At 39.8% G+C, this 21,947-nt stretch overlaps 1 protein-coding gene across 9 annotated transcripts in view, besides 1 other annotated feature; it reads right to left on the bottom strand.

The window, feature by feature from the left end:
- TMEM260 (transmembrane protein 260) overlaps positions 1-21,947 on the bottom strand; it is an 83,641-nt gene that overhangs the window by 13,365 nt on the left and 48,329 nt on the right. For 6 of the 9 annotated variants that reach the window (XM_047431494.1, NM_017799.4, XM_047431496.1 and 3 more), the window contains 4 exons: positions 16,630-16,806; positions 14,849-14,902; positions 13,203-13,293; positions 286-2,558 (listed from right to left, as the gene is read on the bottom strand). In XM_047431494.1, coding sequence (XP_047287450.1) covers positions 2,304-2,558; positions 13,203-13,293; positions 14,849-14,902; positions 16,630-16,806 — 577 coding nt within the window. In that variant the 3' untranslated portion in view covers positions 286-2,303. Of the gene's footprint in view, positions 1-285; positions 2,559-13,202; positions 13,294-14,524; positions 14,680-14,848; positions 14,903-16,629; positions 16,807-21,947 lie in introns of those variants that run through there. The other 3 variants (XR_007064017.1, XM_011536851.3, XR_007064018.1) reach the window with 2 other exon arrangements.
- Positions 740-1,417: an enhancer, noted in NCBI's record as "NANOG hESC enhancer chr14:57115102-57115779 (GRCh37/hg19 assembly coordinates)". NCBI's record gives its function as "activates a minimal SCP1, AML or CMV promoter by ChIP-STARR-seq in naive H9 embryonic stem cells {active_cell/tissue: H9 hESC(naive)}" and the evidence as "EXISTENCE:reporter gene assay evidence [ECO:0000049][PMID:30033119]".

The following is a 21,947-nucleotide window of genomic DNA, read 5'->3' as shown; positions in this document are numbered from 1 at the left end:
TTGACAATAATCTATACACAAAGCACATTCAGCCATACACATATCTCTATAGTACAGACACATATTTAAAAAATTTTTACAAGCAGACAGTCTCAAAAAGAGGTCTTCATTTGCCATTCTTAAGGCTACTAATAGGAAATATAACTTTTAATAAGGTTCCTCAAACACCACATGCGTATGTAGATGCAGAGATGAATATTCACATATCTGTGTATAGATGTTCAGAAACAAACACAACCACCACGCATATGTGCAATCTCTTTTCTGAACCAATAAAGACAATGCTTTCCTAAGGAATGTTTGAATTTTATTGTACTTTTTTTTTTAAAGAAAAGAGAATATCATAATCTTACACAATTTCTTTCAAATGGATAAACTTAGACAATTTATCAATGCTTCCTTACATTTTTACACCACGCTGAACTCCAACAGGTTTTTGTTTTAAGGTAAACCAGGTTTTTGGTCCTTCCCTGTGGAGAAGTTACTTTCAAGTCAGTGAAAGTTCTTGGCCCATGATTAAAAGTCTTTGCCAATTAGTACTCAACAACTTCAATTCATTTTTTTCTGGTTCAAGATGAGTAGGAGCCTAATAAGGCTGTGATAAAAGGGCAAAAGGCACTGAGAGCCAAAAGCGGATTAATGAGCTCCTCCATTTATTTGTCTTCCTAACAGCTGAACTGTTACAACTATTGACACTCTTCAAAAGGTTCCGCTCTGAACCCTGTCCAGGCACTGCAGGCTCCAATGGACATCTTCAAATCCAGAGAATGGAGGGGCAAGAGCTTCCCCTGTGTGATGCCAAAACCAACAAAGCCCCATGGATCAGGTAATGAAACTTCAGCTTTTCCCCCTTTGAGATTTATTTACTGGCAGCTGACAAGGGGCAAATTCAGCTCGAATTGTGCAGTCAAGGCCCTGTCAAGCTTTTAGAGGCACCCTTGTCTTGAAGCACCTTCATGACTGGCATTTCACTCAAAAGCCCTCGGCACTGGTCCTTAACAGCTTATGACATCACAAAGGACACTCCAGACAGATGCCTACATGGCATCCTGCAGCATTTTAAAAGAGAATTAGTGGTTTTAATTATGGTCGTAGTATGAAAGGGAACCATGCAAGCTCCACAGGAGACCTTTGATCAGACCCTTTTGCTAGTACAATGCCACGGAACTGTGACTATTCCTGGTAAGGGGCCTTTTCTTGCTGAATGACTCACCAGTGATCTTTGAATGCAGACAAGCTTCTAGCCCTCCCTCTTCATTAGTGAGCATTTCTATACAGGGGCCTATATAGTGCTTGGAGTCTAGGAGCTATACAATTGGGGGGAAAAGAAGCCCTACAGATTCTGGCCTCTACTTAGGAAGTGCTGAAGGACTCTGAGTGACTTTATTCATTAAAACAGGTTGCTATTAATTAACTGTCATAATAAAATAAAGAACTATTATTTGCATTTCTTACTATGTTCTCTTTAGTAATATGTATAAAAGATGCTTGTAACAGAAATGAATTTATTGGGCCACTTCCCCATCCCCCCCAATCCCTGCCTTTTTTTCCCCTTTGCATTTTGGCAGCAGGAGCCTACTAATTATTGGGTCTAGATCTCTGAGTCCAAATAGAAATAAAACATAAATATAAAATTAATTAAGTAAATGCAAAATCTTTTTTACTCGCCAGTTTCTGCAACTGAAATAAGCAAACATCAAATTAACTTTTTTTTTTTTTAGTGATTTCCAAGAACGATCTAAGACAGTAAAACACAAACTTTTTTCAAAATATCACCCATTTGGTGTTTAGCTTGAAGTGTAAGACTATGTAACAACTATAGCTACTTTGTAAAAAATGTACTCTCACCTAAAGCCTAACATGATTCATTTTTTTTTTCCAGGAAACAGAAAATGTCTTTGGTCTGGTATTAATATCAAAAGAATTTAACTTTAAAACTGATCCCAATAAGCATGGCCCTTACACAGTTCATGACCAATATTTAGTTATATGAAAATGGTTCATTCTCTTCTAGAATCTAATCCAGTGCAGTCATCTGGTGAAAGACTGGAAGTCAGAAGACTTTTCAAAAGCTTCTCACTGAAATGGTAATTTGGTAACACGGGATAAACAGAATTTTGCATAAATAGCAGACCTTAGTCACTGAATACCCCATTAAACAGTACTGCTGGACCATGATACTTATATCTGGGAGATGACTTAGTTTTAAATTTTTTATGCAGTTTCTTTTCTTGAAGGAAAAACTTCCAGACTTCAGAATTTTGGAAGCTGAACGATGAGCAGGTTTTTCATATTTTGCTGTCTCAGACATTTTTCCTATTTCTCAGACTTTGCAGTTCTTTTCTTAGGTGCTTTAGAGCACCTAAAATATCAGCTTGCTGTGGGTCATTCGGTGCTTTCTGAGAGTACAGACGGAAATGTCTGATGGTTTCCGATAACAGCACTTCAGGATCTGCATCTCTTGCCTGAAGACGCAGCATCCGCTCACAGGCGATGGCATAGTTCTTGTGCCAATTCACTGGGTGCTCCTTTTGTAAATAGACAATCTCCTTATAAAGCTAGAAAACAGCAGAAATGTTGGTATTCCATTGTTATTCTTTGACTTTTTTTTTTTCAAAAACAAAAAAACACAGAGGAATTAATAACAAGAAAAAAAAATTCAAGCAGCCTCCAGTAAAAATCTAATCATTGCTAAGCCATGCAGAGAACCCAAGAATGTTACTGCAATTATTACAGTAGCAGGAGGCAAATATGCTGCTTCTAAAACTGCTTCTGAGGTTTTTAGATGTTGCAGGGGAAACCGAAGACACAGTGTTAGGACAAAATGCTCTTCCTCCAGAAAGATGTTCTGGGGAAGGGATTTAGTTTTAATTCATGGAAAGCTATTTACTCAACAGGCAGAAGGGTTGAAACTCTAAATTTAGCTGTTGGAGAACAAAAAAAAAAAACAGCTTTCTTTAGAAGACTGCCTGGAAAAAGAACTTGAAGGAATTTAAATTTTTGTCCCACATTTTTGACAGAAATTTCTCTCTACATTAAAAACAACACTAACAACACTAGCAACGATAAAACAATCCAGACAAATTCATCATCAGAGAGGCTGGGTGTGATAGAATTTAAGAGATATCCATAAAGTGAGATACTGAAAAGCTTCACAGTATCCTGTAATTTATAATTTTGATAGTTAAAACTTTGCCCATAGGAATTTAGAATTTCATTTTTCAACATCAGAGACAGTATTAATTGGATAGAGTTAAATTTTTTTTATACTGAGTTTTCTACAGGAAACATCAAAAATTTAACAAACAAAAACGCAGACACAAATCTGCAAAATGGAATATTATAGTTGCTTACTTGGGAATCTCACAGCTTTCTTGGAGATTGTCAAGTTAGAGCTGTATTCACAGGAGTTACCTGTAGACTTTCTGAGTGCACAGAAAAACAATAGTGCTTTCTCCAAGGGACAAGTGCTTTTTGAATTAGACATTACATAATTTAGTTAAAAGAAACCCAATCATATTATCTATTTTTCCAATTCCTACTCCAGGGCAAACAAATGCATACCTATTTTTAAATAGCACCCTCATGAAATATTCCACAATTCATGTTTGATATATTGTTTCAATAGTTAATAACCCTCAGTTGTCCAGCTTCCTTTTAAAGCAAATTTCCCCTTAGTTCCCTTTATTTTATACAATAGGGAAGAGGCTGGGCACGGTGGCCCATGCCTGCAATCCCAGCACTTTGGGAGGCCGAGGCCAGAGATCAGGCTTGAGATCAGGAGTTGGAGACCAGCCTGGCCCACAAAGCAAGACCCCATCTCTAGTTATAAAAAATAAAAAAGAAAGAAAAAATGGGAAAGAATCACCATGCACTTTCATATACATCAAGGTTACTGTCAGACTCCTACCCTTTTATCCTCTTGGTAAAATATTCAAAGTTGCTTTACCCTTTTTGTCATCATCCTTTTTTCTCCAGTGGTTTCTCTTCCTGAGCCCTCCTCTGATAAGACACGGGTGTAAAGGCTGTAGCATGTTGCCTCACACAAAGCAGGCATTCAGGAACTGTTCAGTTTTCAAAATCCTACTAAGTTTTTTGTTGTTGTTTTACAGATATCAATTTTATTTTTTAAATTAAGTATAATTTTTTAAAATTTTATTATACTTTAAGTTTTAGGGTACATGTGCACAACGTGCAGGTTTGTTACATATGTATACATGTGCCATGTTGGTGTGCTGCACCCATTACCTCGTCATTTAGCATTAGGTATATCTCCTAATGCTATCCCTCCCCCCTACCCCCACCCCACAACAGTCCCCCGAGTGTGATGTTCCCCTTCCTGTGTCCATGTGTTCTCATTGTTCAATTCCCACTTATGAGTGAGAACATGTGGTGCTTGGTTTTTTGTCCTTGCGATAGTTTGCTCAGAATGATGGTTTCCAGCTTCATCCATGTCCCTACAAAGGACATGAACTCATCATTTTTTATGGCTGCATAGTATTCCATGGTGTATATGTGCCACATTTTCTTAATCCAGTCTATCTTTGTTGGACATTGGGTTGGTTCCAAGTCTTTGCTATTGTGAATAGTGCCGCAATAAACATATGTGTGCATGTGTCTTTATAGCAGCATGATTTATAATCCTTTGGGTATATACCCAGTAATGGGATGGCTGGGTCAAATGGTATTTCTAGTTCTAGATCCCTGAGGAATCACCACACTGACTTCCACAATGGTTGAACTAGTTTACAGTCCCACCAACAGTGTAAAAGTGTTCCTATTTCTCCACATCCTCTCCAGCACCTGTTGTTTCCTGACTTTTTAATGATTGCCATTCTAACTGGTGTGAGATGGTATCTCCTTGTGGTTTTGATTTGCATTTCTCTGATGGCCAGTGATGATGAGCATCTTTTCATGTGTTTTTTTGGCTGCATAAATGTCTTTTGAGAAGTGTCTGTTTATATCCTTCACCCACTTGTTGATGGGGTTGTTTTTTTTCTTGTAAATTTGTTTGAGTTCATTGTAGATTCTGGATATTAGCCCTTTGTCGAGTAAGTTGCAAAAATTTTCTCCCATTCTGTAGGTTGCCTGTTCACTCTGATGGTAGTTTCTTTTGCTGTGCAGAAGCTCTTAAGTTTAATTAGATCCCATTTGTCAATTTTGGCTTTTGTTGCCATTGCTTTTGGTGTTTTAGACATGAAGTCCTTGCCCATGCCTATGTCCTGAATGGTACTGCCTAGGTTTTTCTAGGGTTTTTATGGTTTTAGGTCTAACATGTAAGTCTTTAATCCATCTTGAATTAATTTTTGTATAAGGTGTAAGGAAGGGATCCAGTTTCAGCTTTCTACACATGGCTAGCCAGTTTTCCCAGCACCATTTATTAAATAGGGAATCCTTTCCCCATTGCTTGTTTTTGTCAGGTTTGTCAAAGATCAGATATTTGTAGATATGTGGCATTATTTCTGAGACCTCTGTTCTGTTCCATTGGTCTATATTGTTTTGGTACCAGTACCATGCTGTTTTGGTTAGTGTAGCCTTGTAGTATAGTTTGAAGTCAGGTAGTGTGATGCCTCCAGCTTTGTTCTTTTGGCTTAGGATTGATTTGGCAATGTGGGCTCTTTTTTGGTTCCATATGAACTTTAAAGTACTTTTTTCCAATTCTGTGAAGAAAGTCATTGGTAGCTTGATGGGGATGGCATTGAATCTATAAATTACCTTGGGCAGTATGGCCATTTTCACGCAATTGATTCTTCCTACCCATGAGCATGGAATGTTCTTCCATTTGTTTGTATCCTCTTTTATTTCCTTGAGCAGTGGTTTGTAGTTCTCCTTGAAGAGGTCCTTCACATCCCTTGTAAGTTGGATTCCTAGGTATTTTATTCTCTTTGAAGCAATTGTGAATGGGAGTTCACTCATGATTTGCCTCTCTGTCTGTTACTGGTGTATAAGAATGCTTGTGATTTGTGCATGCTGATTTTGTATCCTGAGACTTTGCTGAAGTTGCTTATCAGCTTAAGGAGATTTTGGGCTGAGACAGTGGGGTTTTCTGAATATACAATCATGTCATCTGCAAACAGGGACAATTTGACTTCCTCTTTTCCTAATCGAATGCCCTTTATTTCCTTCTCCTGCCTGACTGCCCTGGCCAGAACTTCCAACACTATGTTGAATAGGAGTGGTGAGAGAGGGCATCCCTGTCTTGTGCCAGTTTTCAAAGGGAATGTTTCCAGTTTTTGCCCATTCAGTATGATATTGGCTGTGGGTTTGTCATAGATAGCTCTTATTATTTTGAAATACGTCCCATCAATACCTAATTTATTGAGAGTTTTTAGCATGAAGGGTTGTTGAATTTTGTCAAAGGCCTTTTCTGCATCTATTGAGATAATCATGTGGTTTTTGTCTTTGGTTCTGTTTATATGCTGGATTACATTGATTGATTTGCGTATGTTGAACCAGCCTTGCATCCCAGGGATGAAGCCCACTTGATCATGGTGGATAAGCTTTGTGATGTGTTGCTGGATTCGGTTTGCCAGTATTTTATTGAGGATTTTTGCATCAATGTTCATCAAGGATACTGGTCTAAAATTCTTTTTGTTGTGTCTCTGCCAGGCTTTGGTATCAGGATGATGCTGGCCTCATAAAATGAGTTAGGGAGGATTCCCTCTTTTTCTATTGATTGGAATCGTTTCAGAAGGAATGGTACCAGTTCCTCCTTGTACCTCTGGTAGAATTCGGCTATGAATCCATCTGGTCCTGGACTTTTTTTGGTTGGTAAGCTATTAATTATTGCCTCAATTTCAGAGCCTGTTATTGGTCTGTTCAGACATTCAGCTTCTTCCTGGTTTAGTCTTGGGAGCGTGTATGTCTCCAGGAATTTATCCATTTCTTCTAGATTAGTTTCTAGTTTATTTGCATAGACGTGTTTATAGTAGTCTCTGATGGTAGTTTGTATTTCTGTGGGATTGATGGTGATATCCCCTTTGTCATTTTTTATTGCATCTGTTTGATTCTTCTGTCTTTTCTTCTTTATTAGTCTTGCTAGTGGTCTATCAATTTTGTTGATCTTTTCAAAAAACCAGCTCCTGGATTCATTGATTTTTTTGAAGGGTTTTTTGTGTCTCTATTTCCTTCAGTTCTGCTCTGATCTTAGTTATTTCTTGCCTTCTGCTAGCTTTTGAATGTGTTTGCTCTTGCTTCTCTAGCTCTTTTAATTGTGATGTTAGGGTGTCAATTTTAGATCTTTCCTGCTTTCTCTTGTGGGTATTTAGTGCTATAAATTTCCCTCCACACACTGCTTTAAATGTGTCCCAGAGATTCTGGTATGTTGTGTCTTTGTTCTCGTTGGTTTCAAAGAACATCTTTATTTCTGCCTTCATTTTGTTATGTACCCAGTAGTCATTCAGGAGCAGGTTGTTCAGTTTCCATGTAGTTGAGTGGTTTTGAGTGAGTTTCTTAATCCTGAGTTCTAGTTTGATTGCACTGTGGTCTGAGAGACAGTTTGTTATAATTTCTGTTCTTTTACATTTGCTGAGGAGTGCTTTACTTCCAACTATGTGGTCAATTTTGGAATAAGTGCAATGCGGTGCTGAGAAGAATGTATATTCTGTTGATTTGGGGTGGAGAGTTCTGTAGATCTCTATTAGGTCCGCTTCGTGCAGAGCTGAGTTCAATTCCTGGATATCTTTGTTAACTTTCTGTCTCATGGATCTGTCTAATGTTGACAGTGGGGTGTTAAAGTCTCCCATTATTATTGTGTGGGAGTCTAAGTCTCTTTGCAGGTCACTAAGGACTTGCTTTATGAATCTGGGTGCTCCTGTATTGGGTGCATATATATTTAGGTTAGTTCTTCTTGTTGAATTGATCCCTTTACTATTATGTAATGGCCTTCTTTGTCTCTTCTGATCTTTGTTGGTTTAAAGTCTGTTTTATCAGAGACTAGGATTGCAACCACTGCCTTTGTTTTCCATTTGCTTGATAGATCTTCCTCCAACCCTTTATTTTGAGCCTATGTGTGTCTCTGCACGTGAGATGGGTTTCCTGAATACAGCACACTGATGGGTCTTGACTCTTTATCCAATTTGCCAGTCTGTGTCTTTTAATTGGAGCATTTAGCCCATTTACATTTAAGGTTAGTATTGTTATGTGTGAGTTTGATCCTGTCATTATGATATTAGCTGGTTATTTTCCTCATTAGTTGATGCAGTTTCTTCCTAGCCTTTATGGTCTTTACCATTTGGCATGTTTTTGCAGTGGCTGGTACTGGTTGTTCCTTTCCATGTTTAGTGCTTCTTTCAGGAGCTCTTTTAGGGCAGGTCTGGTGGTGACAAAATCTCTCAGCATTTGCTTGTCTGTAAAGGATTTTATTTCTCCTTCACTTATGAAGCTTAGTTTGGCTGGATATGAAGTTCTGGGTTGAAAATTCTTTTCTTGAAGAATACTGAATATTGGCCCCCACCCTCTTCTGGCTTGTAGAGTTTCTCCCAAGAGATCTGCTGTTAGTCTGATGGGCTTCCCTTTGTGGGTAACCCCATCTTTCTCTCTGGCTGCCCTTAACATTTTTTCCTTCATTTCAGCTTTGGTGAATCTGACAATCATGTGTCTTGGAGTTGCTCTTCTCGAGGAGTATCTTTGTGGTGTTCTCTGTATTTCCTGAATTTGAATGCTGGCCTGACTTGCTAGGTTGGGAAAGTTCTCCTAGATAGTATCCTGCAGAGTGTTTTCCAACTTGGTTCCATTCTTCCTGTCACTTTCAGGTACACCAATCAGACATAGATTTGGTCTTTTCATAGTCCCATATTTCTTGTTTTCACATAGTCCCATATTTCTTGGAGGCTTTGTTTGTTTCTTGTTATTCTTTTTTCTCTAAACTTCTCGCTGCATTTCATTCATTTCATTGTCCATCGCTGATACCCTTTCTTCCAGTTGATCGCATTGGCTACTGAGGCTTGTGCATTTGTCATGTAGTTCTCGTGCTGTGGTTTTCAGCTCCATCAGGTCCTTTAAGGACTTCTCTGCATTGGTTATTCTAGTTATCCATTTGTCTAATTAATTTTTTTCAAGGTTTTTAACTTCTTTGCCATTGGTTCGAACTTCCTTCTTTAGCTTGGAGTAGTTTGATCTTCTGAAGCCTTCTTCTCTCAACTCGTCAAAGTCATTCTCTGTCCAGCTTTGTTCCATTGCTGGTGAGGAGCTGTGCTCCTTTGGAGGAGGAGAGGTGCTCTGATTTTTAGAGTTTCTGGTTTTTCTGCTGTTTTTTCCCCATCTCTGTGGTTTTATCTACCTTCGGTCTTTGATGATGGTGATGTACAGATGGGTTTTTGGTGTGGATGTCCTTTCTGTTTGTTAGTTTTCCTTCTAACAGTCAGGACCCTCAGCTGCAGGTCTTTTGGAGTTTGCTGGAGGTCCACTCCAGACCCTGTTTGCCTGGGTATCAGCAGTGGAGGCTGCAGAACAGCGGATATTGGTGAACTGCAAATGCAGCTGCCTGATTGTCCCTCTGGAAGTTTTGTCTCAGAGGAGTACCCGGCTGTGTGAGGTGTCAGTCCACCCCTACTGGGAGGGTGCCTCCCATTTAGGCTACTCGGGGGTCAGGGACCCACTTGAGGAGGCAGTCTGCCCATTCTCAGATCTCAGGCTGCATACTGGGAGAACCACTATTCTCTTCAAAGCTGTCAGACAGGGACATTTAAGTCTGCAGAGGATATTGCTGCCTTTTGTTTGTCTGTGCCCTGCCCCAACAGGTGGAGCCTACAGAGGCAGGCAGGAAGGCACGCAGGCCTCCTTGAGCTGTGGTGGGCTCTACCCAGTTCGAGCTTCCCAGCTGCTTTGTTTACCTGCTGAAGCCTCAGCAATGGCGGGCACCCCTCCTCCAGCCTTGCTGCCACCTTGCAGTTTGATCTCAGACTGCTGTGCTAGCAATGAGTGAGGTTCTGTGGGCATAGGACCCTCCAAGCCAGGTGCAGAATATAATCTCCTGGTGTGCCGTTTGTTAAGCCCATTGGAAAAGCACAGTATTAGGGTGGGAGTGACCCGATTTTCCAGGTGCTGTCTGTCACCCCTTTCTTTGACTAGGAAAGGGAATTCCCTGCCCCCTTGCGCTTCCTGGGTGAGGCAATGCCTTGCCCTGCTTTGGCTCACACATGGTGCACTGCACCCACTGTCCGGCACTCCCCAGTGAGATGAACCCGGTACCTCAGTTGGAAATGCAGAAATCACCCGTCTTCTGCGTTGCTCATGCTGAGAGCTGTAGACTGGAGCTGTTCCTATTTGGCTGTCTTGGCTCCACCTCCTATACTACATATTTCTATACAAATATAGACCTGTTAGATTGATGTTTGTTACTTTAATTTTTGCAGGTACACAGTTGGTGTATATATTTATAAGGTACATGAGATATTTTGATACAGGCCTCCATGCATAATAATCACATCAGAGTAAATGGGGTATCCATCACCTCAAGCATTTATCCCTTCTTTGTGTTACAATCCAATTATACTCTTTTAGTTATTTTTAAATGTATCATAATGTTGTTGGCTGTAGTTACCCTGGTTGGCTGTAGTTACCCTGTTGTGCTATCAAATACTAGATTGTGTTCATTCTGTCTCACTATATTTTTGTACCTATTAACCATCCCCAACCCACCACCCTGCACTAAGGTGTTGAAGTCCAAAATAGATGCCAACACTTCCAGGAGCATTTCCCCAACTGCTCCAGAGAATGGAGGCTCATTCATGACCCACCTACTAGTCTTCAGGCAGCAGGACAACTGTGCTACCTTTTTCTGGAATATTTTGTTACTGACACATTATCAACTTATTTTAGATGTCCTATTAAGTCACATGTACCATATCTTGAGAAGCCCATCATTCTTCGTTATGTGGAATTATATTTCCTCCTCTATATACATGTGTTGCTGTGATATTAGTCTTGGTGGATGTATTCTGTTAGTTGGGGACACCTTCAAATTATCCAATTTATTCCTATAGCATTGCCTACGCCCTGCCCTGCTCCCTGATGTCACCTGAACTTAATATTCTGTATGAGCTATTGAGTAGGATAATATAAACAGCAGAAATATATTCTTTACACCTAAGAAGAACATTCTTGAAAAACTAGCACTGGGGGTGGTAATTCAGTAATTACCATGAAGTAATTGGCCTCATTTGTCTTGTAAACATTGTCACACATCTGGAGACTATGTGCAAAGGAGATACCAATAATCTGTATTCACTGAAAAAAAACAGAGCTCTCTGACCCAAAGGGACAATAAATCCACAAATGAGCTTTAGTAGTAGCCTAACAAACAACTGACCATAGAAGAGGTCGCTGATGAGAATATAAAGTATCAGTAAGTAAGTCTCAGTTTTCTCCCAACTAAATACTACTTGTTTTTCATAGAATTACAAGGTATTAGAGATAAACAGGATTATTATGTGAAAGGAGATCTTTTCAAGTTTAAAGCCCTTTTTTTTTTCTTTTTTAGAAAAAAAATCAAGGCCTGGAAAGGTTCTTTGATGCACAGTTGACAACTAATGGCAGAGTGGGCCTAGAAGCTGGGCCTCCTTACTGCCAGACAGAACTCCAGCATGCTGCCTTCTATAATCAGGTATTTTGCTATCCTCAAGTGGGGTGTCTCGGAGGGATCTGCCTTTGCCCCCATGGCTTGCTTCTTATGGACTGCTCTCCCCTCCCTCTCTTGCTGCCTTGCCCTACCATCTGTTTGGTTAGCTCCTTCTGATCTTTCAAGATGACACTCCAATGACATCCTCTCTGGAAGCCTTCCCTTCCTCCCTCCCTCACCAGCCTACTTCCCAGCTTGCTCTGGTCCAGGGCTCTGGGTTTCTGTAGCACCCTTGTGTGCCTCTCACAGCACTCACAAGACTGAACTGTGACTGAGGACTTGATCTTCCATCTCCCTCTCTAGCCTGCCACCTTTTTGATAGCAGGGATAAGACTTGGTTGTCTCCAACACACTATTTGCTATGGAGTGGGTGCTCGAGAAATGCTTTGTGAGTGAATGAATAAGTGAATACATAAGGAACCAGAGATCACAATTGAGGAGTAAAAGTAGTCATACTGATTGGACACCATGCTATTTTGTCTTAGCACCAAACACTTGTCCTGGCTGAGTAGAACCACAGCAGTCTAAAGATGGCAGAAATATCTCAGCTGCTCATATATACAGGTCCTACCCTCTGTTTTCATTGGCCCTTGTCAGGATATTAGTTTCCTATAGAGCAGACTCTGCAAGTGTCTGAAGTGGCCAGTGCCGTAAGTCATAGCAAAGCAGAGACTTGGTTACAGTAGTGCCACAGCAAGCCTCTTGTATCTGCTCCCACTTCCCATCAGAAAGGACCGATTTGTGCAAGACCTTCAGCGTGGCTGTGTCTTCCGAAGGTTAGTTTGGCTTCCTGGGGCCACAGTTAAAAGACAGAGCCACCCTCCATGACTCTTTATCATCTCTTCTCGTGAAATCTCAACAAGCCAAGGCCCTATCATTTCAAGTGTAGCCAGGGTCATGACCTTTGCAGAGGCAGTAACCAGCTAGAACTTGTTTTAAATGAAGCTATTATATTAGTTTCCTATTGCCACTGTAACAAATAAACAACATACATTTATTATCTCACACTTCTGAAGGTGAGAAGTCATAAAGCCAGCATAACTGCATTCCTTCAGGAGGCTCTAGAGGAGACTCTGTTTCCAACGTCCTCCAGAGGTGGCCTGCACTCTTTTACTCCTGGCTCCTTCCTCCATCTGCAAAGTTCAAGTTTCTCTCTCTCTGCCCTCTGCTTCTGCATCATGTATACTTCTCTGACTCTGACCTGCCTGCTTCCCTTTCATGAGGACCTTTATGATTATGTTGGGCCCACCTGGATAATCTGGGGTAACCCCCTGTCTCAAGACACCTAACTTAATCCCCACCACCCCCTGCTTTGTTACATAGGTAACATATTCACAGGTTGTGGAGATTAGGACTAGACATCTTTTTTGGGTGGGAGGTATTATTCTGCCTACCACAGCCATTTACTTTGGATACTGTGATACAACTGAGGATTTGTTCATATGTGCTGCTTTATACCACCCAAATTGAGAGAAATAAAATAATAAAAATTCTAATGTGATATACCCTCTATCCATTCTGAACAATCACCATCACCTTCCCACCAAATATATCTATATCTACATATAAAAGTGTAACATACGTCATATGCTTGAGCGTAGAGTTGAGCTTTCACTTTTGAAGGCATGTGAGCAGTTTCTGCCAGGTTAAAGATGAAGAACGGTGTTTTCATCCTGGGGGTGGGGATAGGAACCTTCATTAAAATCATACAGTCAATTGCACATTCAGGGCTAGCTAAATCTTCCAGGCTTCTCCACTGATAAGGGATGTACAAAATCCTTTATTGTATTATTTTCAATTCTCTCATATTCATGGACATTTGCTCTGAACCAACAACAATCCCTCCACCCACCCACCAAGATGCTGCATTCACACTAATGACCAAATATTTTAGAAAAAAAGCTTACACTTATCACTATTATACATTGTTCATCCTCCAAATGTATGTTATTGTTATGCAAGAGAAGCCAGGAAAAGGGAAACCTGCTGAGTCTGCCAACACATCCCTGAAGGTACCCAACACGAAGCTCATGCCATGTGTGCCCAGTTCTTCCAAGGTGGCCAGACCCTTAGACCCCATGAACTCATCCAAGTTGTATTCAGAACGCCAATTAAATCAATACCTGTGCAAATAATGACCTCTTTCTTCTTTTATGTGATTTCTTCCCCGCTTTCCCACATTCAATCACAGTGAATTATGCAAACATATGGTATATCTTTGATCAGTTCCTTAAAGTAAGAATTTGTCCCTATGACTACAATGACAACTTAAAATATGCTATTTTCTGACTTATTCAAAAATACTATTGCATAAACTATAGTATATATATATATATTTGCAATCATTATTTTGCAGCTGTATTTCTTGACCACTCTTTAAAAACCTCTTTAAACTTATATAAGCTCTTTATATCATAACTGTTCTCAGTGCACACAGTCCCTGGCTCAGACTGGACATCAATACATTTTTGCTGAAGGAAGCACTCCTTATGTACAAGATACTCCGTCTGCACTACTTAGGACTTTTACATTAATACTTAGGCCAGAGTTTGTTAGTGTTATTTTGATTAAAAAACAAAACAATGACAGGAACCAAAAGAAGCAGTTGCCATCACTATGAAATGTTCCATACAGGACAGGATGACAGCTGTCCTCTCTGAACTACAGGAAAGTATAGGCTCCATCAGATTAATATTTCAATCTCCTTTAACATGTCTGTCTGCTCATTAGACTATGAGCTTCATGAGGGTAGGAACTGTGTCATATTCATATGTGTAGCTTCAATGCCTAGCCCAGTGCCTGGCCTCCAGTAAGTACTGAATAAGTGCTTAACTAATTGACAGGCACATTACAAATGGAGGCGAGGTTGTAATGATTAATTTCTACTCAATCGATTACACTCACTTTAGTTAGATGAGTGTTCCAGAGGCAGACAGATGTGAACTTTGGACTCCATCACTAGCAGCAGTGTGCCCTTGGACAAGTAGCCTTTCCACATCCAGTTTGTTCTTTTATAAAATGGGGATCAAAATAACCTCAGAGGTTATTGTGTGGATGAACTGAAATATTCATGTATAATGATTAGTACAGTGCCTCAAAAACATAATTGCTCATAAATGCTATTTTTATTATCACTACTCACCCCTACTCTCAAAATTAAAAGTGCCATAAGCTACTTCCCTGCCATATTAAAAATAGACTGCACACACAAAAATGTAGAATAGTCACCTCGCTTGCCACATTTCTTCATTGGCCACAGATTCCCAAGAAGATGGATCAAACCTGTAGTTACAAGAAAACAGTAATATCTTTCTGTCACCCACTTTTTTTTTTTTTTTGAGACAGAATTTTGCTCTTGCTGCCCAGGCTGGAATGCAATGGTGCGATCTTGGCTCACTGCAACCTCCACCTCCTGGGTTCAAGTGATTCTCCTGCCCCCGCCTCCCAAGTAGCTGGGTTTACAGGCACCCACAACCACACCCAGCTCATTTTTGTATTTTTCGTGGAAATGGAGTTTCACCATGTTGGCTAGGCTGGTTTCAAACTCCTGACCTCAGGTGATCACCTGCTTTAGCCTCCCAAAATACTGGGATTATAGGCGTGAACCACCATGCCCAGCCATCATCTACATTTTTGCAATGGATAGGTCATAACTGTTTTATCATCTGACAAGGCCAATAAGATGAATCTTGAAATACTGACAGTGATCAAATTAATAAACTTGTTCTCCTAAAAAAGTTGAATTTTAAGGAAGTTTGAGTTTTGGTAAATATCTTCTTAATCTGCATAATTAGCTCCCATGCCTCAAGAGAGCAAACAGAAGATTAACAGGAAGACATTGAAAGTCTCTGGGGAGCCAGCTGTTCATAAGAACTATATGTTAGATGGCAACAGGGCAGAGGTGAGGTGTAGGTCACTCTATGGACAGAGGTAAGAGCCAAAGAGCTGTGAAACAAGGGGATCAGCCTGAAGAGAGGGGACTCCTGGCTTGGAAAATCACTGCTGGAGCTTTGATGCTGCTCAAAGAACAATGGCCAAGCCATTTGATTTTTCTTTCTCTTAAAAATTTTCTTACTATGTATATATTTGATAGAATGGGGATAATGAGCAAAGTTATGTACGTGTACTAGTTGTCAGCTGTTCTGACTTTTTCTCATGACGGCTGCAGAGTGTTTTGATCATCCATCTCTGGCTGTTATACAACAATGTGGTCTGTATTTGCGCATACTGTCTTTTCAAAAAACCTTTACAGTATTTTAAAATATAATCTTGTCTGTTGCTCTTAAATTATAAGCAATAGGTTATATAATCTTTAAATAATTCATAACTTTAAAAGTAGGTAATGGAGGCACATTTCTTTAGATAGTGACTCTGTGTGTGTGTGTGAAATCAAGTAAAAGAATCACTACTCCATAGATAGAGCAGCCTAGATAGTGACTCATTTTCTATTTAGGAAACATTAAGCTCTATGTAGAAATGCTTAATGGAAGGCCAGTAATGCCCCAACAACATAACCAGATTGATGCCAAGAAACACTGAAAACAAAGCTACTCAAAGCTGAGTCTTCGCTCACAGAGAAGTTATCTGCCATTCTTAAGGAAAAAAAAAAATGACAAGTTTGTGCATATGGAAACTATCATAAACAACAGAATGCCTTTTAAAGTTCAACTGCAGTTAATGAACCTCTTCTGCTTTTAGGGTAATGAGCTATAGGATGGTAGATGATGCAGCATTCAAAGACTTGGAAGTAGAAGGTGCCATGCATCTAACCATCATGGTATCCACACAACCAGCACCCTCTTCCCTCCTCTCTCCCCATTGTTCTGTAAGTAGGAGAACGAGAAGGACATGTTCTCTTTCTGTTGTTTTATGGTATTTTGTGGGTAGCAAGTAACAATATTAACAATTAATAAAAAAAAAAATTAGAAGGCATCTCAAAATGTAGTAGTTTTTTTGGGTATTCAAAACTGCTATGTTTATATGCATCAAAATACAACTGCTGTTCATACCTTCCATATTCTTCGGTCCAGTTATAGATACTTTTTGTAAGTTTAATCCATTCCTCAGGGTTGAATACAATCTCCAAAGGAACTAATTTGTCACAAGACCCCCATGGCCAAAGTGAATAGTTCTTTTTCCAGGTTGGGTCGCCTTCATGAATTCCTATGCAAACAAATGTTTCTTTTCTGTTGGAAACAGAAAAATACATGATGTACTTAAAATTTAAAGTTTTAAATGTTAAGTAAATATAATTCATGAAAGATCATTTTTAGATTTTTTCCCAACAGTTATTACCTATATGATTTTGGAAAAATTACTTAACTACCTGTGTTTAGTCTTCTCACTTGTGAAAGAGGTATGGCAACTATCTTTCAGAACTGTTGAAGACTAATGAGATATCTAATATAATTAACAGTCTCAAAGCATAATAGAGGCTGGACATGGTGGTTCACACTTGTAATCCCAGCACTTTGGGGCTGAGGTGGGAGAATCGCTTGAGGCCAGGGGTTTGAGACCAGCCTGGGCAACACAGCAAGACCCCCATCTCATGGGGGAAAAAAGGAAGCTTAAAACTCAGAAGTATGTCTCAAATAAGGATAAAAAAAGCTCCAAGAAAAGTCCCCCCATTTTTTGCAGCCCAAGAAGTAGCACAGGGGACCAAGGTTTGAAGAGAGTGGAGGGAATCCCCCAGGTCTTTTTCTTTCTCTCCTTTCCCAGGTGCCAGGCAACATCGTGGCATTAGCGGAGGCAGCAGCATAGTGATAGTAGTGGTGGGTTGGCAGGCACCCAAAACTCTGAGAGAGGGGAGCCCTTCTCTCTAAGCAGAGGCATTGTGCTTCCAAGAGTGTGGGGCAAATCTCCATTGCTTTTTCTCTCTGTCCTTCAGTCTGGCTCCAGATGCAGACACAGTCACAGGAAGGGCACAGCAGAAGAAAGAAATTAAAGCCCCAGCTTTCTGGCTAGAGAACCAAAAAGGAAGGCCCCAGCAAGCTGGAAAGTAATGGGGTGACCACAGAAAGGAGAGAGATGCAGAGAGCAATGCCATAAAGTTGTATCCTCAGCTTATCTCTGAGCTGAGCATGCACAGGTCTGACCCTAAACAGAGTTCGTAAAATTAACCACAGGACAGACCACCACCCAGGTTCCAGACTGGGTACCTGGTAGTGTTACCATAGGTAGCTAGTCAGGCATGAGCAGGGCAGGAGAGGGCTCTCTGCCGTCCTGCCCCAACCACACCAGGAATTTCAGACAACCATCAGGTGATGGTCAGACAGTTGTCACACTGCTTCTCTAAAATAGTAACTGGTCACAGACAGCACCAGGAAAAGGCAGTTTCCCAACAGATAGATAGAAACACCTGAAACTGGTGATCAGCAGCTTCCCGAAAAGATCTCAGGAGTTGAATGAGTGGGCTCAAGCATGTGCACTAAGAGGCAAAACAGCAGAGTTTAACCGGTATGACCTTCTAGGGCCAAACCACCAGTGAGGGAATAACACAAGTGAGCATGCATACAACTCCAGTAAACACACTGCACAGTCTCTTTTTTTTTTTTTTTTGAGACAGAGTCTTGCTTTGTAGCCCAGGATGGAGTGCAGTGGCACAATCTCAGCTCACTGCAACTTCTGCCTCCTAGGCTCAAGCAATCCTCCTGCCTCAGCCTCCGGAGTAGCTGGGATTACAGGCACGCACCACCATGCCTGGCTAAATTTTGTATTTTTAGTAGAGACAGGGTTTTGCCATGTTGGCCAGGCTGGTCTTGAACTTCTGACCTCAGGTGATCCACCTGCCTCAGCCTCCCAAAGTGATGGGATTACAGGCGTGAGTCACCACACCTGGCCCACACTGCACATTCTCACCTCCCAAGTGCTAGCAGGCTACTGCACATCTGGGCAGCCCACCCCCAGGGAAGAATCAGGGGAGAAGGGAATGCAAGACCCTAGAAGTATGCCAACGTATAAAACCCTGAGTCAAAGGTCAAATGGGGCACTTGTCTGTCAAGTCGCCTGCTTGGCCTTCTTCCAAGTGTGGTTTCCTTCCTTTCATTTCTGCTTTAGAGCTTTTAATAAACTTTTACTCCTGCTTTAAAATGTGCCTTGGTCTCTCCTTCTGTCTTATTCCCCTCAGTTGAATTCTTTCTTCTGAGGTGGCAAGAATTGAGGTTGCTGCAGCCCTGTATGGGTTTGCTGCCAGTAACTCACACACTCGCCGCCAGTAACAGTAGCACACACATGGGATTAATCCAAATAGCACTGCAAATGCTTTGGAAACAGAACCGGTATTGCAACCACAGTTCACAGAAGGCAGGCCAGAATTTGAAACCTGAGATTAACTTGGCCAAGGGCTTGCTAAACAAACAGACCAAAAAGTCATCATTCTCCTTGGGATTTAAATAAGACCCAAATATTCAAAATGTCCAGGATACAATCCAAAATTACTAGGCATATGAAGAACCAGAAAAATCTCAACTCATAAGGGAAAAAACAATCAATAGATGTCTATTCTAAGATGACACAAATGCTAGAATTGTCAAAGACTTTAAAACAACTATTATAAGCATGCATCAAGAAGGAAGGGCAAATACTCTAGAAACAAAAGGAAAGATGGAGAAGCTCAACAAAAAGTAAAATATATAAAAAGGAACCAAATGGCTTAATATAAGTTTGGCAAGACAGTATGTCAGGGAATTTGAAGACATAGAAAAAAAAAGATACAATTTAAACAAAAAAAGAAAAACACTGAAAAAAAAGCAAAGAGTTCAGGCATCTGTGGGACAATACCAAAAGGTCTAAATTCATTTCATCAGAGTCTCAGAAGGAGAAAAGAAAGACTGTGAAACAGGAAAAATTATTTAAAGACATAATGTATGAAAAATTCCCAAATTTTGTGAAAGATACAATCTTACAGGTTGAAGAAATTTGGAAAACTCCAAACAAGTTAACGCAAAGAAATCCATGCTAAAATATATCATAATCAAACTGCTGAAAACTAAAGACAAATAAAAAGTCTTGAAAATGGCCAGAGAAAAACAATAGATTTCACCTAGGGGAACAATTATTTGAATTACTGTGGATTTCTAATTAGAAGCTACACAGGCCAAAAAAATTAACTTACTTTTTTTTTTCTTCTTTTTTTTTTTCTGAGATAGGGTTTTGCTCTGTTGCCTAGGCTGGAGTGCAGTGGCACAATCATAGCTCACTGCAGCCTCAAACTCCTGCATTCAAACAATCTTCCCACCTCAGCTGCCCAAGTAGTTGGGACCACAGGTGTGTACCACCACGTCCAGCTAATTTTTTATTTTTATTTTTTTGTAGCGACAGGGTCTCCCTATGTAGTCAAGGTTGGTCTTGAACTCCTGGGCTCAAGCAATCCTGCCTCAGCCTCCCAAAGTGCTGGAATTACAGGCATGAGCCACTGTGCCCAGCCTAAAGTAACATTTTTAAAATGCTGAGGAAAACAGTATTATCAACCCAGAATCTATTTCCACAAATATCCTTCAAACAGGAAGATGAAATAAAGACATTTTCAGATAAAGGAAAACTAAGAGAATTCACGGCTAATAGTTTTGGTTTAAAAGAAATACTTAAGGAATATCCTCAGAACGAAGGGAAATCATACAAGAGGAAAATGTGGAATATCAGGATTGAAGAAAGAACAACAGATCTGGTAAGTATCTGATAAATATTGTAGAATATTTTTTTCTCTTAAGTTCTTTAATATATGTATGACAACTGAAATAAAAACGACCCTATCTGACATAATATGTAACACAAAAAGTAAAAGACTTATATGACAGTAAGGTTATCACATTCTGCTTGAAGTGGTAAATTATTACTCCTAAGTATACCATGAAAAGTTAAGTATGGATGCTGTAATCTCAACAGCAACCAGCTTCAAAAAAAAAAAAAAACAACAAAAACAAAAACTTTACCAAGCGATATAGTAAAAAATCTCAATAAACATTTTTAAAAGAAATACAAAAAGTCAGCCAGGCGTGGTGGCTCACGCCTGTAATCCTAGCACTTTGGGAGGCCAAGGCAGATGGATCACTTGAGGTCAGGAGTTCAAGACCAGCCTGGCCAACATGGTGAAACCCCATCTCTACTAAAAATACAAAAATTAGCTGGGCTTGGTGGCACATGCCTGTAATCCCAGCTACTCAGGAGGCTAAGGCAGGAGAATCGCTATAACCTGGGAGGTGGAGGTTGCAGTGAGCCAAGATTGTGCCACTGTACTCCTGCCTGGGTGACAGAGTGAGACTCCATCTCAAAAGAAAAAAAAAAAAGAAATACAAAAAGTCAACTAATCTAAAAAAAGATAATAGTAGACATACATCTAAACATATCAATATTTATATTAAATGCAAATGGTGGAGACATAGCAATTAAAAATAGAGATCTGAGATAGTAAAATAAGACTCAAATATATGCTGTCTATAAAACACCTATTTTAAATATGATATAGGTTGGTTAGAAACAAAAGGATGAAAAAAGATAAACCACAAAAACACGAATTAAGTTAAAACCAATAAAAAACCCCAGAAGATTTTTTTTCATTTGTATAGACAGCGAAAAGTACAAATACAATGCAATGAAGAAAGGATAATCTTTGTAGCAAAGAGTATAAGGACAATTTGACATCCAAACACAAAAACAAAACTATAGAACTCATAGAAGAAAACATGAGAAAATCTTTGTGATCTGGCATTAGGCAAAGAGTTCTTAGATATGATACCAAAAATATAATTCATAGAAAAAAATTGAATTTGAGCTTCAAAGAAATAAAGTTTTGCTCTGCAAAAGACACTTGTAAAAGACAAGCAACTGCGAGAAAATATTTACAAACTGCATATTTGACAGAGGTTGCGTACCTAGAATATAAACAGAACTTTCAAAACTCAACAATAAGAAAACAACTCAATCCCAACCCTATGCAGAAAACATACTCACACACAAACCTGTTTATGAATGTTTATAGCAGCTCTATTTATAAATGCCCCAAACTTGAAACAACCCAACTGTCCTTCAATGAGTAAATGGATAAACAAACTACAGTACATCCATACAATGAAATATTACTTAGAAACAAAAAGAATAAACTATTGATATACACAGCAACTAGGATGGTTCTCAAAGGCACTACACTAAGTGAAATATGCCAATATCAACAGGTTACATACTTTGATTCTATTTATATGACACTCAGGAAAAGGTAAAGCTATAATAATGAAGAACAGATCAGTGGTTGCCAGGGTTAGGCCTGAGGAGACAGTGTGACTATACGGGAGCAGCACAAGAAAATTTATGGAATCATGGACTGCTCTGTGTC

This window comes from Homo sapiens, chromosome 14 (assembly GCF_000001405.40).
Source record: "Homo sapiens chromosome 14, GRCh38.p14 Primary Assembly".
NCBI classification, from domain to species: Eukaryota; Metazoa; Chordata; class Mammalia; order Primates; family Hominidae; genus Homo; species Homo sapiens.
This window is presented reverse-complemented; position numbering and strand designations above follow the sequence as displayed.